Here is a 16,139-nt window from a genome sequence, read left to right as displayed (position 1 = left end):
CTAAACCCACTAGAGGTTGCCTACATCTTCTAAATCTGGCTAGAACTTAAAAATTCTATGTGTTTTAAATAATCAGTAATTTAAACATGGTATGTTCATATAAATGACATGTATGAATCTTAAATTGTTTCAAAATATAAATTTCACATTATTTCATTTTAAACATAAAAAAGCTATCCTCTTACGGCTTATAAAAACATGCATAGATACGCATAAAAACAAAAATAGGACGGAAAAAGAGTTATCACCCACTGATCTCTGTGAACTCACATATGAAATCAACAGGGAAAAATACTAGAGGGAAAACATGCAAGCAAAGTGAAAGGACAGAACTCAACAGAGGGTCATTTCAGTCAGATACACTTCAAATTCACTTTTTCAAAATAAGCTTTCAATATGTTGTCTTTTGCATAAATTTAACAAGATAAGCTGCAAGCCCTACATCTGTAGTTAACCAAACAGAAAATTTCTTAAACACTTGAATTTAGAGATTGTGATTTTGTTAAAATAATGTAAGTTTATCAACCTAAAACTTCAACATGCTGACATAAAATAAAATCAAGAGTGTCCTCAATTCATGAAAGCATTAAAAATAGGACTGTCAGCCCCATATCAAGTGACAGAACAGTTATTTCAACTGTTCACTTTGTATGAACTATTATTGTGTTGCCAAAAGGAAAAAAGTCTGTAGACAAAACAACGCAGACAGCAGTAACCCTGGGCCTCAGAGCTCATTCTTACGTGATTTAATGTTGGCATCTCTGTAGGTGCCATTCAGAATCGCAAGCTCCATCAGCTGCATCTTCTTCAGGCTGTCTTCTCCTTCTGCCTATACATGGAAAACACATGAGATGAAAGCATTTGAGACTGTCCACAAATATAATAGCTATATCTACACACAAGCCTTAAAGTAAGTATCATGTGACTACAGTCACCTGTTTTAATAAGGGGAAAAAAAGATCAAGAACCAAAAGGTGCTAACATAATGGAGCCTGCTTTCTCTGTTTTCTCAGTAAAGGCATGTTGATATACAGCATATTGTATTTGTAAATTTTTTGTCAGTTACACCGATTTATTAAAGTTCCCCTAAAAAGCTTTACTTTTAAATAGAAATGAATGAAAATGTGAGATAAGACTAAACATAACATATTCTCTTCAGCATCTATCATTTTAAAATTACTTTAATTAATTTTATTGTTTTTAGATACAGGGTCTTGCTCTGTTACCCAGGCTGGAGTGCTGTGGCATGATCCTAGCTCACAGCCACCTTGAATTCCTAGGTTCGAGCCATCCTCCTACCTCAGCCTCCGAAGTAGCTGCGACTAGAGGCACGCGCCACCATGCCTGGCTAATTTTTTTTATTTTTTGTAGAGACAAGGTCTCGTTTTGTAGCCCAGGCTGGTCTCAAACTCCTGGCTTCAAGTGATCCTCCTGCTTCAGCCTCCCAAAGTGCTAAGTTTACAAGTGTGAGCCACTGCACCCAGCCAGCAACTATCATTTTGCTGAATATTCCAAAACTCAAATGTGTTCGTTAAACACACACATACACACACGCGCGTGCACATGTGCACACAAATAATTTTAAACATACAAGATTTGATTACAGAATTTAGGTAAGGAAATTTTATGCTTAATTCTTCAAAATATGAAAACTCAGTGAAATAATAACTTCTAAAAAACCGTATATTCTGCTCTCTTACACCACCATCCCTGTCTCCTTTCAATCTAATTAGCAAGTGCTATCAATGCTACAGCAATCTATCTTTAGGGTCACCATATGATTTATTGTCCAAAGCAGAAAACTTTTAAAAGCAAAAATGGGCACTAATAATAACCATGCTTCAAACCTAAATCAGGATAGTCTCTAATCATCAAAATGTTTGGCCACCCCATTTACCTTGAATTGGTCCCACTCTTTCCATTTACTGTTCCAGTTGTTTTTGGCATAGCACCCAAACTACTAAAACATGTTGCTAATGGTGTCTGTTCTCCAATCAATCTCTACACAAAGGCCAGATTAATTGCCCAAATCACAATTTTCATCATGTTTCTCAACATTCTGTCTCAAAACACTTTCATGGTTTCTTACTATCTAAAAATATAAAAAACTTTAGTTGCCTATAATCTGGTCCCAAAATATCCTCTCAAGTTAAGCCCATTAACCTACTACTTTACACACGTATGTAAGTAACATCTTAAGTCAAACCAGATTGCTCTCCACCATTCATCTCTGTGCATATTCCCACTTCCTCCATCCTAAGTGCTCCCCTGCGCACTCTCTGCCCCTCTCTCTTTCCAAATCCTACCTATCCCCATCCCCACAAACTTCAACCTAAATGCTACCTTCCTTCTCCAGGGGCCATCCCTAGATTACAGTAGATCCTCACTTAATGTGGTCAATACATTCTTTAAAACTAACTTTAAGTGAAACGACAGACAGCAGGTCCTCAAATAATGCCACTGCTTTCAACATGGTTTCATTATAACATTGATGAAAAAAGAGGCTGCAATATACTCATTTTGTTTAAAGTTGTATCTCCAAGAACCTATCGACAAAGTTAATTGCTTCTACTTCAAATTACAGTCTGTTGAGTATCACCACTCCCAAAGTAAGCTCCATGAGAATAGGGCTTATTTCTTTGTTACCACTGCCTAACCCCATGTTCCCACGGCCACCCCCAAGTTACTTACTAGAACTTATAAGTGACTGGTATGAGAAGTCTTTAACTTTATTTCCAAATCCCAAATGTCTCAGTCCAACATAAACTTTAGCCACAGTCAAAGCAAGCAGTAGATGAGGGTCCATCTATCAAAGTCTGTGTAGAGATAGAACTAACTGCCCCCCACTTTTATGTATCATCGAATCCCAGTAACTTTACATGACTTTGTGATATTTACAATGAAAGTAACACAATGCAACAATTTTCTGACATAGTCTTGTTCCTCTCTGATTCATAAAACGGGAAGGACGACCAGGACACAGGCTTCTCAGTGCTCCTTTCTATTATAGCTGTAATGACACACAAAATTCTGTTTTTGGCATTACAATGGTGAATGGTATACTATAATATATAGTAAACAGAACTGTTCAGTGAGCTTTTAGTAAATCACAAGAATTAAAGAAAAATATGAGTGAAACATAAAGACAATGTTTTGATGTGCTACTGCCAACTTTTTAAAAACCTACTTTGCAGAAGATTACAGGGAGTGGATACTGGCATGCCTGTAGAATTTGACTCCTATCAACTTGTACAAAGATGAACAAAAAGTAAGTATGATCTTAGAAAGACACAGAAATTATTTGTTAAAAACGAAATAAGTAAGCTACTATTGGAAAAGAAGAATCAAATCCATTATAATAAAACTTCAACTTATTTGCTAAAAACTAGTCATTTGAAAATTAAAACTTATCAAAAGTTTCAAATTTAAATTTATATATAAAAATGGAATACCAAAAGTATTATAAATTATACTCTACATAAAAAAAGAAAAAGAAGAGCAGTAGGTTTACCTCCAGTCATCTACCATAGCGAGAAAGAAGTGGTACAAGTTTGAAAATGTCAGCAAATAAGAGGGCAAATTTACTTCCAACAAAGAGGAAATAAAGACGAAAGACGAGTTTCCTGCAGAAGGGCAGGTGCTTGAAAACATGTTGGCACTGAACTGCTCCTTTTGGATAGCAAAATAGCTATTCATTATTTGGCAATGGAGTGTCAAACAAGGGAGAAAACCACAGAGAAAAAAGATGGAAGAAATGTGTGTGATTACCACTGTGTGTGCACACTTGTGTAATGTGCAGGGTGCAGGATAATGAAAACAGGAGAGATCACCCTAAGAGAATAAAAATAAGAGTGGCATAGGAGGAGATCCTGGTGTAGTCTGCCATATGGTGTTGCTGGAGGTGATGGTATGTTACACCAGATCACAGCCACATTTTGGCAGGGTACACTAATGCCTCCCAGAAATGCACAGGATTTAGTTGGCAGAGCTGGAATTTGATTCTAGGTGGTCTCAGTCCAGGATGGGCTTCACCCTCATGTCCTGACCACTCCCCTCCACTCTGTATTCACAGGGCATGATCTTGTGTGTCTTAAGAGACAACAGGGTTCACTGGCCGGGTGTGGTGGCTCACGCCTGTAATCCCAACACTTTGGGAGGCTGAGGTGGGCAGATCATGAAGATTAGGAGTTCGAGACCAGCCTGGCCAACATGGTGAAACTCTGTCTCTACTAAAAATACAAAAATTAGCTGGGCGTGGTGGCAGGTGCCTGTAATCCCAGCTACTTAGGAGGCTGAGGAAAGAGAATCGCTTGAACTTGGAAGGCGGAGGTTGCAGTGAGTCGACATCGCGCCGTTGCACTCCAGCCTAGGCAACAGGGCGAGACTGTCTCAAAAAAAAAAAAAAAGAAAAAGAAAAAAAAAGAAGAGACAACAGGGTTAATTATAGAATTACTTTCACATCGAAGTGGTTATTTCAATGTTACTGTCCTGGTTTTGACAATGAGATTTGGTAGTACGTACCTGCCTAAACACTGTTGAAGGTATATATCACCTCTTTTTCAAATATAAGTTCAGATGAGAAAACTAAGTTTCTTCTACAGTCTAGAGGCTCTAGAGCTTCTATGAGCCAGTCTTCAGACCAGTTTTTCTGACCTCTTTTTTTCTCAAAAATTACAACTGATCAAACAGGGCATCCTGAAGTTGTACATGTCAACTCCAGATAGTTCACAAAGTATCCTGCAGAACCTTGATCGGGAATGAGCAACTCTACAGAGACAGAACACTAACTTTTACATTTGTAAAATGGGTCATTAAAATCATATTTTGTAATACTGAACTCAAGTGATTATCCGCAATCTCATAGCTTCTGGTTTCCTAAGTATTTGCCCTATATTCAAGAATCATTTAAAAAATGGAAGCAAAATTCACATGCAGTGGACTCCCAAGATCTTAAGTGCAATATCCAGTCACGATATTTCTTTTTTTTTTTTTAAGTTTTTGTGGGCACACAGTAGGTGTATGTATATATAAAGTACATGTGATATTTTGATACAGGCATATAATGCATATTAATCACATCAGGGTAAATGGAGTACCCATCAACTCAAGCATTTATCCTTTCTTTGTATTATAAACAATCCAATTATTCTTAAATGTACGATAAATTATTGTTGACTGTAGTCACCCTGTTGTGCTATTGAACACTAGATCTTACTCATTCTAACTATATTATCGTACCCGTCAACCATTCCCACTGTGCCCTCCCAACCACTCTTCCCAGCCTCTGGAACCATCGCTCCACACTCTATCTCCATAAGTTCAATTGACTTAATTTTTTTAGCTCCCACAAAAAAGTGAGAACATGTGAAGATTCTTTCTGTGCCTGACTTATTTCACTTAACATAATGACCTCCAGTTTCATCCATGTTGTTGCAAATGACAGGATCTTATTCTTTTTTATGGCTAAATAGTACTCCATTGAAGACACAGGACATTTCCACAAACCCAGAAAGTCTCCTTGTACCTCAAGCCCTAACCATCCATCTGATTTAACTTGCCTAGACTAGATTTTCGGATAATGAAGGCATATATAATATTTTGTGTTCAATTTCTTTCCCTCAGTATGACAGCTGTCAGACTCATCCATATTGCTGCATGTCGCTGTAGTTCATCTGTTTTAATGGCTGAGTAGTATGTTATTTATCTATTCTTCTGCTACAGACATTTGATTGTTTCCACTTTTTGGATATGTGAACAGAGCCACTCTGAAAATTCTCATATAAGGCTTCCTTGCAAATATAAGTTTTCATTTATCTTGGATAAATACCTATGAGTAGAGTTGCTGGGTCATAGGGCAGATGAATATTTCCCTTGTATTTGTATGGAAAATATTATGGAAAGATTATTAAAGCACAACAAAGAATGTCTTTACTTTTGAAATGTAAAAGCTCAAAAATAGAACACACTCCTGCTAATAGCTAAAACCTGTGGTATCGGGGAAGTGCCTTGAGAATTTCAGAGTTTTTCAGATTTATAGAAAGATAATACACCACAGATTCTATAACACCCAGCAGAGTCTGGGGGATACGCCCATAATCCAGTCCGTAACAAACAGAAAAATACTCACACTAAGTGGGGTGAAGCAACTATAAACACAGTTTTCTGAACTTCTGGAGGCTTGCAATTAAGGATGACCAATTATGGGTATGTATAAATATATATATTTTAATTTATGCATATTAAGATATAGATATGTCATCAACTATGCCTTTTCTGTTGTTTGTTGTTTTTTTTTTTTTTTTTTTTTGAGGTGGAATTTTGCTTTTGTTGCCCAGGCTGGAGTGCAATGGTGCAATCTCAGCTCACTGCAACTTCGCCTCCTGGGATTCTCCTGCCTCAGCCTCCCAAGTAGCTGGGATTACAGGCATATGTCACTACGCCCAGCTAATTTTTTGTATTTAGTAGAGATGCGGTTTCACCATGTTGGTCAGGCTGGTCTCGAACTCCTGACCTCAGGTGATCTACCCGCCTCGGCCTCCCAAAGTGCTGGGACTACAGGCGTGAGCCACTGTGCCCAGCCATCATCAACTATGTTTAACAGCTATGTTAAAAGGATACAAACAGGTCACGTTTAATGTAATTTATACATTGTTCAACTTTTCTAGACTTAGACACTAGATCTTCATTATCCAATCATTTACGCTTCCTAACAAATGTGTGGTATTGGCAGTGCATTATCCCTGAGGCTCAGGCAGGGTAGGCAGCTTATCCAAAGCCACAAAAGTTCACATTGCAAACCTGGCTTCCAACCCAGAATACCTGATTCAAAGTCCTCATGTTTAACCATTACATTATACCTTCTCCAGTCTTATGATGCCTTTAAGTGGAAGTATCTTTTGAATTCATCAGACCACATGTTAGAAAGTAAGAAAATCATGTTTATTTAGTATTTTTAGATCTATATACTTTTAAAAAAAAACTACAACAAAGTAATCACCAGAGAGCTGAAACAAATGTGTATTTCCAAATCATTAAAACTATGTCAACTAAAAAAATAATTCGAACCACTGCCTATCACAAAGGCCCAAATTCTCCAGCATTCAGGGCATTGAACAGTTTACATGAGCAACCTTGCTTGCAAATGTTTTGCATTAGTCAAAATCATCTGTCCACAATCCCCGAGTAGACCTGGTACTTTCCTCTCCAAGTTAGGCTCCTATTGGAAGCATCCTATGTGTTCCTCAATAACACAGATCATCGTTTTCTCTCAGAGTGCAGGCTTTTTTTTTTTTTTTTTTTTTGAGCTGGAGTTTCGCTCTGTCGCTAGGCTTCAGTGCTGTGGCGTGATCTTGGCTCACTGCAACCTCCAACTCCCTGGTTCAAGCGATTCTCCTGAGTGCAGGCTTTTCTAAGAACTCTCACGCATACTGGTCTTGCTTTTATAAATTCATGCTGCTTATTTTTGGGGTGATCAATCATATATAGCCATGTGCTATCTCAGTTTTTCTATTTTTTGATTTTTAAAGAAATTTATCATGAATTGTATCCATAAACTAACCAATAACCAATAAACCCATGTTCCTTGTAACCCCCAAAGCCTTGCAAAAATGAATGTGCTCAACATATTTTAAAAAATGAATTAGTTTTCTATAAATTTGAAATAATGGGTAGAAAAGGTTTTCCAAACAAAAAAATACATGACTAATTTAATTGAAGAATAACAAATATCAGAGAAAAGAAAAAATGATGAGTGACCACATTTTATGAAGAATTTTGATGCCAATTACCACCTTGATCTGCTCCGACAGCTTTGGCAGACAGAAGATGACAGATAATTTGATTGACTTAAACAAAGGGGTTTATGAGAGGGAAGTGACAAAAAAGGATTTGTCTTTAAAGCCTCACTGTGCTATTTTGTGGATGGACTGCTGGGGGCGCCAGCGTGATTACTGAGATAGGTCATGAGCTTTAACATTGTCCAGGCAACAGAGAGGATGAACTGGACTGGGGTAGAGGTTGTAACAGAGATGAAAAGAGTTATGTTAACCTGACAAGGCATGATGATCAGTTGGACACAGAGGGTAAGGGAAAAGGAGAAATTGAACAATGTTGTTTAGGTTCTTGATTTAAGCAATAAAGTAGACGGTGGCTCCATGTAATGAGATAAAAATTGAGGAATATGGAATCAGAAGTTCTCTCTTGAAAGGTTACATCTGAAATACTTATCTTAAACACCTAAGTGGAGATGTCAGGTACACAGCTGAATATTCATCTGGTTGATCAACTTATTCCAACTTATCCTATACAGCTGGTAGAAAAATATGCTTTCATATTTCTTGAGTTTTTCTCCAAGATGATGTGGCAGTTACTAAGTTCCAAACTGAACTGCCATATGCTTTCCAATGCTTAAGTGTAGGGCTCTACAACTACTACTTCTTTGCCAGCCGGTTTTCTGTGAGGTTCTCAGAACTGAGGCATAGTGTGGGTGTAAAGCAGCCGACCCTGAAGAGCTGGATGAGGGAAAGAGATGTTCTCTTTCCCATGTGCGCTCCTTTCAGCTATGCACTTGCCAGAGGCAGCTGTCTCCTGGCTCCATGCTTCTTTCCCAGCACCTCTAGAACCAGTCTCATCGTGCAGCCCCTTCCCTCCATGCACACCAGAAGCAGCCAGCTAGGGTTCTCCCCTCTGAGCTCCTGAGGTTCTTGAAGTAGCTGAGAGACACCAAGCCAGGGTCTTGGTTTCATCATTACACAGGCTTTCTTCTCTTTTATTCCAGCCCTGGGGTAAAAGATGCTTTTTTTGCAGTCTCTAAATCTGTATTACAGCCTGTCTTTCTCCTTTTTCAGTTCTCAATACCTGTGTAACCAATCAACAACTTTCCACACATAAAGCAAGGTAGAGGGAAAGTGTCAGGCACTTTATTTAACCAGAAAAGCTTAAAACACTCAAACACACACAAATATGATGCTCCTCCTCCATTAAAACTATATAAAACTAACAAAGATTTGTACCTTAGGACAATATGTTCTGCCTCTCTTCAACAAGGTATAAACAGATCCACTGAAAAGTAACAATCTCAGAAAAACAAAAGCCAAGTCTCAATAATAAGTACTTACTTCTTCTAATGCTAAATACGATACAATCTGTGATTTTATTAATAGTAATAGTAATCTTAACAGGCATGATAAACTTCTGAAGGATTTATATGATTCACAACTCCGGCTACATACTAGCATTAGTAGAGCCACATCAATTTATAGATTAAAAAAAAAACACCTCCAAAGTTGATTGTTATTTTAGACGGATATTATTAGATGATATGGTTGGGCTGGAAGGTGGGACATATAAATACCAATTGGGAGTTTAATAGAGCCTTGTTCTACAAAAGAAGATAAAAAATAGGAACCTGAGCTGGGCATGGTGGCTCATGCCTGTAATCTCAGCACTTTGGGAGGCCAGGTGGGTGGATCACTTGAGGTCAGGAGTTTGAGGCTTGCCTGACCAACATGGTGAAACCCTATGTCTACTAAAAATACAAAATTAGCTGGCAATGGTGGTGCACGCCTGTAATCCTAGCTACTTGGGAGGCTGAGGCAGGAGAATCGCTTGAACCCAGGAGGTGCAGGTTGCAGTGAGCCGAGATCGTGCCATTGCACTCCAGCCTAGGCAACAAGAGTGAAACTCCATCTCAAAAAATAAATAAATAAATAAATAAATAAATAAATAAATAAATAAATAAATAAATAAAAATTAAAAAAAAAAAAGAACCTGAAAATTATGACTATCTAAAAATCTCTTAGTTTTGAGAGGTGGGACAGAGAGGCAAAAACTAAGAAAAGTATACCCACTGTGGCGGGAGTGGTGGTGAGGAGGCTTAGAGGTGGGCAGAACCTAAAAGATGTTGTAATGATTGCCTGACAAAAAGTTCTGAAAGTGAAAATATATTAAACTCATTCATATTCAGAATGAGCACTGAGATAGAAAGGTAAAGCAAGATAAATGATGTGCAACTGGGATTATGATGGGAGTTTGCACAGGCTGCGGTGGAAGACCAAATGAAAAGGCCTAGGGAAATAATCACAACAGCTTTAAGAATCTTACGGTAACTATAGATTCCTTCTCTAGAAAACATATATGAGTACGCCGCTGAACCTTCCAACAATATGGATGGGCTTGAACCATGCAGGTCCACTTTTATACAGACATTTTTCTGCCCCTGCCAGCCCTGAAACAGCAAGACCAACCCCTCCTCCTCCTCCGCTTACTCAGTATGAAGATGATTAGGATAAAGAACTTTATGAGGCTGGGCACGGTGGCTCACGCCTGTAATCCCAGCACTTCGGGAGGCCGAGGTAGGTAGATCATGAGGTCAGGAGATCGAGACCATCCTGGCTAACACGGTGAAACCCTGTCTCTAGTCAAAAAATACAAAAAATTAGCCAGGCGTGGTGGCGGGCACCTGTAGTCCCAGCTACTTGGGAGGCTGAGGCAGGAGAATGGCATGAACCCGGGAGGTGGAGCTTGCAGTGAGCTGAAATCTTGTCACTGCACTCCGGCCTAGGCAACAGAGCTAGTCTCTGTCAAAAAAAAAAAAAAAAAAAAAAGAACGAACGAACTTTATGATGATCCACTTCTGCTTCAATAGCAAATATATTTTATCTTCCTTCTGATTTTCTTAATAACATTTTCTTTTCTGTAGCTTATTTTATTGTAAGAATACAGTATATAATATACATAACATACAAAATATGTGTTGATCAACTGTTACCAGTAATGCTTCCTGTCAACAGCAGGTTATTAGGAGCTGCATTTTTGGGGAGTCAAAATTATACGTGGATTTTCAACTGCACGTGGGGGTGGTTCCCCTAATCCCTACTATGGTCAAAAGTCAACTGTGTAAGCAAAAAATGTTGCATACAATTTTAGGGAGTTAACTGTGAGTATTAAACTTACCCATGAAGATATGTGATTAAATTGTTAATTCACTCCAACTGCTCTTACAAGACTTCCAAGGTAATGCTGTGTAATGTATTCATCACAGTAATGAAGTACTTTTCAAAGTGACTCTGACTCCTCAAAGTAAATGCTTTTCACCAGGAGATATTCATGAGATTTCTAAGCTATCAAGCACAACCTTGACAACCTCAAAGAAGAGTAGCGGTAGAAAACTACCTGGCATTTAAAACAATTTTATGTCATGACTGCTACTTTCACTTATACCCAAACTATTTTCAGATGTAGTCATGGTGGTAACACCAGAGGAGGTAATTAATTTTGGTTGCTGCCCATCTTCTTTTTCTTTGTTGTTTCATCAGATGTCTAATGATATCTTCAACACAAATTACTGACTAAAATCTTGAACCTCAGAGTTAGGCTAAGCTAGAATAAAGTAAGGTAAGGAAGAAGTATGGGCTACCACCTACTACTTGTGACTGGTGCCTGAAGTGGGAGACATCTTGTGGAACTGGAGCCCTCAACCTGTGGGACCTAAGGCTATCTCCAGGTGGACAGCGTCAGAACAGGATTAAATCGGAGGACACCCAGCTGGTGTCTGCTGAGGAATCTGGTGTCAGAACTGACTGGCTGCTGGTGGTGAGGAGGAATCCCTACAAATTTTGATGACCATAGATCACAGAAGCACTCGGTGTTGTGAGAGTATAGTAGGAGAAACTGATTTTGTGTTTTCCTATATCCTTATGCACACAGATATGCAAGCACTGGTATTTTTCTAACATACTAGTTTTCATAAGAAATGGAATCAGGAATCAATGAATTAGATAACATTCACATTGGCTGGCCATTATTGGTTAAAATTTGATCGATGCCCCTGTCCTCCAACAGAAGCAGCTTTTTTTTTTTTTTGTGAGACAGAGTCTTGCTCTGTCGCCCAGGCAGAAGTGCAGTGACACGATCTTGGCTCACTGCAAGCTCCGCCTCCTGGGTTCACGCCATTCTCCTGCCTCAGCCTCTCTGAGTAGCTGGGACTACAGGCGCCCACCACCATGCCCGGCTAATTTTTTGTATTTTTAGTAGAGATGGGGTTTCACTGTGTTAGCCAGGATGGTCTCGATCTCCTGACCAGGTGATCCACCTGCCTCAGCCTCCCAAACTGTTGGGATTACAGGCGTCAGCCACCACGCCCAGCCATAAGCAGCTCTTTGTTGGGGTGGCTGGTGCTTTAAATATTTCGTACGTATATTTAAGAAAGTTTGTTAGTGGTGAAAAAAAGGCAACTGCTGTGGTACCAGAGTTAGAAGTAATTCAACTCTGGATTTGCCCTGTTAGAACTCAGTTTTATAATAATAGCCACATAGCTTCCCCCCAAATCTCTGATTACTGAAATTCCTGTAAGAAAAAGTAGCTTTGTTACTATGTGCTATGGTTTAAATGTCCCCTCCAAAACTCATGTTGAAACTTAATCCTCAACGTGGATCATGAGAGCTCTGCCATCAGTCCCTCAATGGATTAGTGGATTAATGGATTATTACAGGAAGAGAACTGGTGGCTTCATAAGATGAGGAAGACAGACCTGGGCGAACACACTAGCTCACTTACCCCCTTACCATGTAGTGCCTGCGCTGCCCCAGGACACTGCAGAGTCCCCACCAGCAAGAAGGCTCTCACAGATGCCACCCTTTGACCTTAGACTTCCCAGCCTCCATAACAAAGAAATAAATTCCTTTTCTTTATTAATTACCCAGTTTCAGGTATTGTTATAAGGAACAGAAATCAAACTAAGACACTGTGAGTTTGAAACTCTCCTAATTTCCCATGGAAGAACTTTTAATGGATTTGACTGCACGGTCAAAGCTTCATTTACTGAAGAACAGATTGCATAGTTTAACTCTGAAAAGTATACAATTAGGTTCCTGGTATATACAATGTTAAGAAATATTTGTTCAACAAATACAAACAGATGCTTAAAACACCTGTTAAAAAAGTAGTGTGTTAGATTGTAAAAGAAGGTAATTTTTTCTTTAAGAGGTAGAGAATAACAAAGTGAAACATTACTACAATTGCATACTAATATATGTTCATTTAAAAACCACAGACAAGTAAAGAACACCATGTAGTATGTTTTTGTTTTGTTTGTTTTTTTGAAACAAGTTCTCACTGTGTCACCCAGGCTGGAGTGCAGTGGCACGATCTCGGCTCACTGCAACCTCCACCTCCTGGGTTCAAATGATTCTTGTGCCTCAGCTTTCGGAGTAGCTGAGATTACATGTGTGCGTCACCATGCCCAACTAATTTTTTGTATTTTTCGTAAAGATGGGGATTCACTATGTTGCCCAGGCTGGTATCAAACTCCTGGCCTCAAGAGATCCGCCCGCCTCAGCCTCCCAAAGTGCTAGGATTACAGGCATGAGCCACCATGCCCAGCGCAGTGTTTTCAGGAAGTAAGTTTTCTAGCTGTTGGTCTTTTACTGAGTCTTAAGTTATTCACAGCACTGGAGTGCAGGAGAACACTTTCTCTGGGATGTTCACAAGCCTTTTCCTACCCTTTCCTGTCCATACTTCCTGCATATCCCCTCCAGGACTGCTAAGGAAAATGAGACATTGGCTCTGCTCAAATTTCATCATCACCAACCTCATGTCCCCCCCCTCAACCTCTCTGGCCTCTCCTCCCACATTTCTCTGGTCAAATCTTCTTCGCTCGGCACTCATTCTCTTTCCTGCCGCCCTGTGAAGAGATGCCTTCCGCCATGATTGTAAGTTGCCTAAGGCCTCCCCAGCCATGTGGAACTATGAGTCAATTAAACCTCTTTTCTTTATAAATTACCCAGTCAGCAACCATATTCTATAATTACAGTGAATACAGCACTATCCATCCAGTTATACAAGTCAGAATTCTGGAGTTACAAACGATACCTTCTAGTCAATCACCATTCACCACATCCAGTCTATATTACCACTTAAATAACTGCTTATTTTGCCCAGTTCTAACTCAACTGTCACCTTCCGGGTCTCCTTTCACACATCCACTCTGGCCCATTAAGATGTTCTCTCACCTCGTAGCCAGAGTGATATTGACAAAATGAAAATAAACCTGGCTCACTTCTTAAAACTCTTCAGTAGTGCCCAGTCCTCTTCAGATAAGATCAATATCCTCAAACATGCTAGGTCTACTCACTGGGTACCTCACCTCAATCTCTCTCACTCTGCACTCTGGTCACACATACCTTCTTTCAGTTCCTTACCAAACTGACCATGTTCTATTACAATCTTTTAAAAAACAGTTTTACTGCCATAATTTATATACCACAATATTTACCTGTTTAAAGTGTAAAATTTAATAGTTTTGGGTAGGCTTACGTATGTGTATGACCATCACACATATATAGATATTAATTGATTTAGAACAGAGCAACCTAATGAGGTGATTTAAAAAATGAGGCAAAAAGGGGTAAGTGACTTGTGGAAGATTTTACATGAATGTGTTTTTAGGTTCCATTTTTACTATGAAAAGCAAACAACAAGTGCTTTGTTAAAGGACTAATATTCAATCATTAATTCAACAAACACTGATCACTTTCTATGTATGTGCAAGGCAGTGAGGGAGAGATACTAAGATGAAACAGACTTCATGCATGTCACTGAAATGCCCAGTCAGGGGCAAGGGGATAAACAAACAAACAAACATTCAGTTCTAATAATTCTACACCACTATCATAGACAATGCATTCTACTATAATATTAGTACAGAATACAAATCACGGAGTTCTTTCTGGAGATCGCCAAAATACACTACGTAAACAAACAGTGTTCTGAAAACTGTGAGTTATTTAATATGTGTGGGTGTAAGTGTAAAGGAGGAATGACATGAAACAAAGTTGGAAAAGTAGGCACATGTTAGATGAAGATAAGCTATGAATGCCATACATTTTTACCATGGGGTGATAGAAAGTCACTGAAAACCTACAACAAGGAGTGTGATGACATTTCTATATATTAAAAAGATAGTTTTGGCCTCAAGTAGAAAATGGATAGGAGGGAGCACCATGGGTAACAGACCTACTCCATCTGTGGAGATGGAGAAAAGATATGTGCTATTTGGAGGTAGAATCAGACAGAACTTGGTGATGATATAGATGGGAAGGAGCCAGGGCAGGAGAGAAAAAGGTGGAAGGAAGGTGGATGAGTCCTAGGCAACAAGTATCATTCTACAGAGAAAACAAGGGAAGAATTGTGATACGGGGAGGGCAAGGAAGAATGTGATTTTAGTTTTCAAAATGTTATGTATGAGATGCCTATGTGGCACCCGCATGGAGGTGTTGAATGGCTGGTTGATTTGGAATTCCAGATTAGAAGCACGCTGAAAAACAATCAGCACTGCAGTGGTAACTGGAGGCATGGTTACAGAACAGACTGTCCAGGAAGAACAAATTGGAAATGAAATACTTTAATTCTAGTGAGAGCATGACAGTTCTGAAGAGCAGACATCAAGTGATCAAAAAAGCAATTAAGAACACAGTAATTTTGTTCTATTCTCATTTACATTATGAAATCTAAGTCTCTGTATATAATGAAGTCTTGTTTTCTAGCCTTGTAAACTGCAGTTTTTCAATAGAAGTTTGTGAGATGAATTTCTTTTGTCAGTCGTTCAACGCTTGAAAGAAATATTCCCAAGTATAATTCCACAAATGCTAAATTAAAAAATCAAAGTATTTTTATTTAAATTGACAGGAGAATTCATAAATTACTGTCACAAAGTAAGCTAATTCCTAAATTAGCTAACTTTCTCAGAAATATTATATTCTACAAAGAAGGTTACTAAAAATAAGCTGAGGCCATGTCAGTTTGAAGGCATAACTAAAGATACTTTGATAAATACTCTTATATTTTATTTATACATTAAAGATTAAGTTTTTCTCCACAAAGGTTTTAAACGTTAAGAGAATTAAAAAACAAAACACATCTACTTATTTATATAATTTGGCAATATGGTTTCAGAGTTAATTCCCATAAAGGAGCCTTGTGATGAATAAGCAGGATAATTTAATAGTCACTTTCAAATTTTCCAAAATAGTTATTAAAAATACAACCAAAAATAAAGCTATAATGAGCTACCAAAAGCTTACCTGAAATAATCTTAATACTAAAATGCTTATTTGAATCTTTTAATATACTATTAAAATGTC

At 38.5% G+C, this 16,139-nt stretch overlaps 1 protein-coding gene across 9 annotated transcripts in view; it reads right to left on the bottom strand.

The window, feature by feature from the left end:
- QKI (QKI, KH domain containing RNA binding) overlaps positions 1-16,139 on the bottom strand; it is a 163,875-nt gene that overhangs the window by 15,782 nt on the left and 131,954 nt on the right. For 8 of the 9 annotated variants that reach the window (NM_206855.3, NM_206854.3, NM_206853.3 and 5 more), the window contains one exon: positions 742-829. In NM_206855.3, coding sequence (NP_996737.1) covers positions 742-829 — 88 coding nt within the window. Of the gene's footprint in view, positions 1-741; positions 830-15,384; positions 15,645-16,139 lie in introns of those variants that run through there. The other variant, XM_011536261.2, reaches the window with a different exon arrangement.

This window comes from Homo sapiens, chromosome 6 (genome assembly GCF_000001405.40).
Source record: "Homo sapiens chromosome 6, GRCh38.p14 Primary Assembly".
Lineage (NCBI taxonomy): Eukaryota > Metazoa > Chordata > Mammalia > Primates > Hominidae > Homo > Homo sapiens.
Note: the sequence above shows the minus strand (reverse complement) of the source record. Positions and strands in the feature narration are given on the sequence as shown.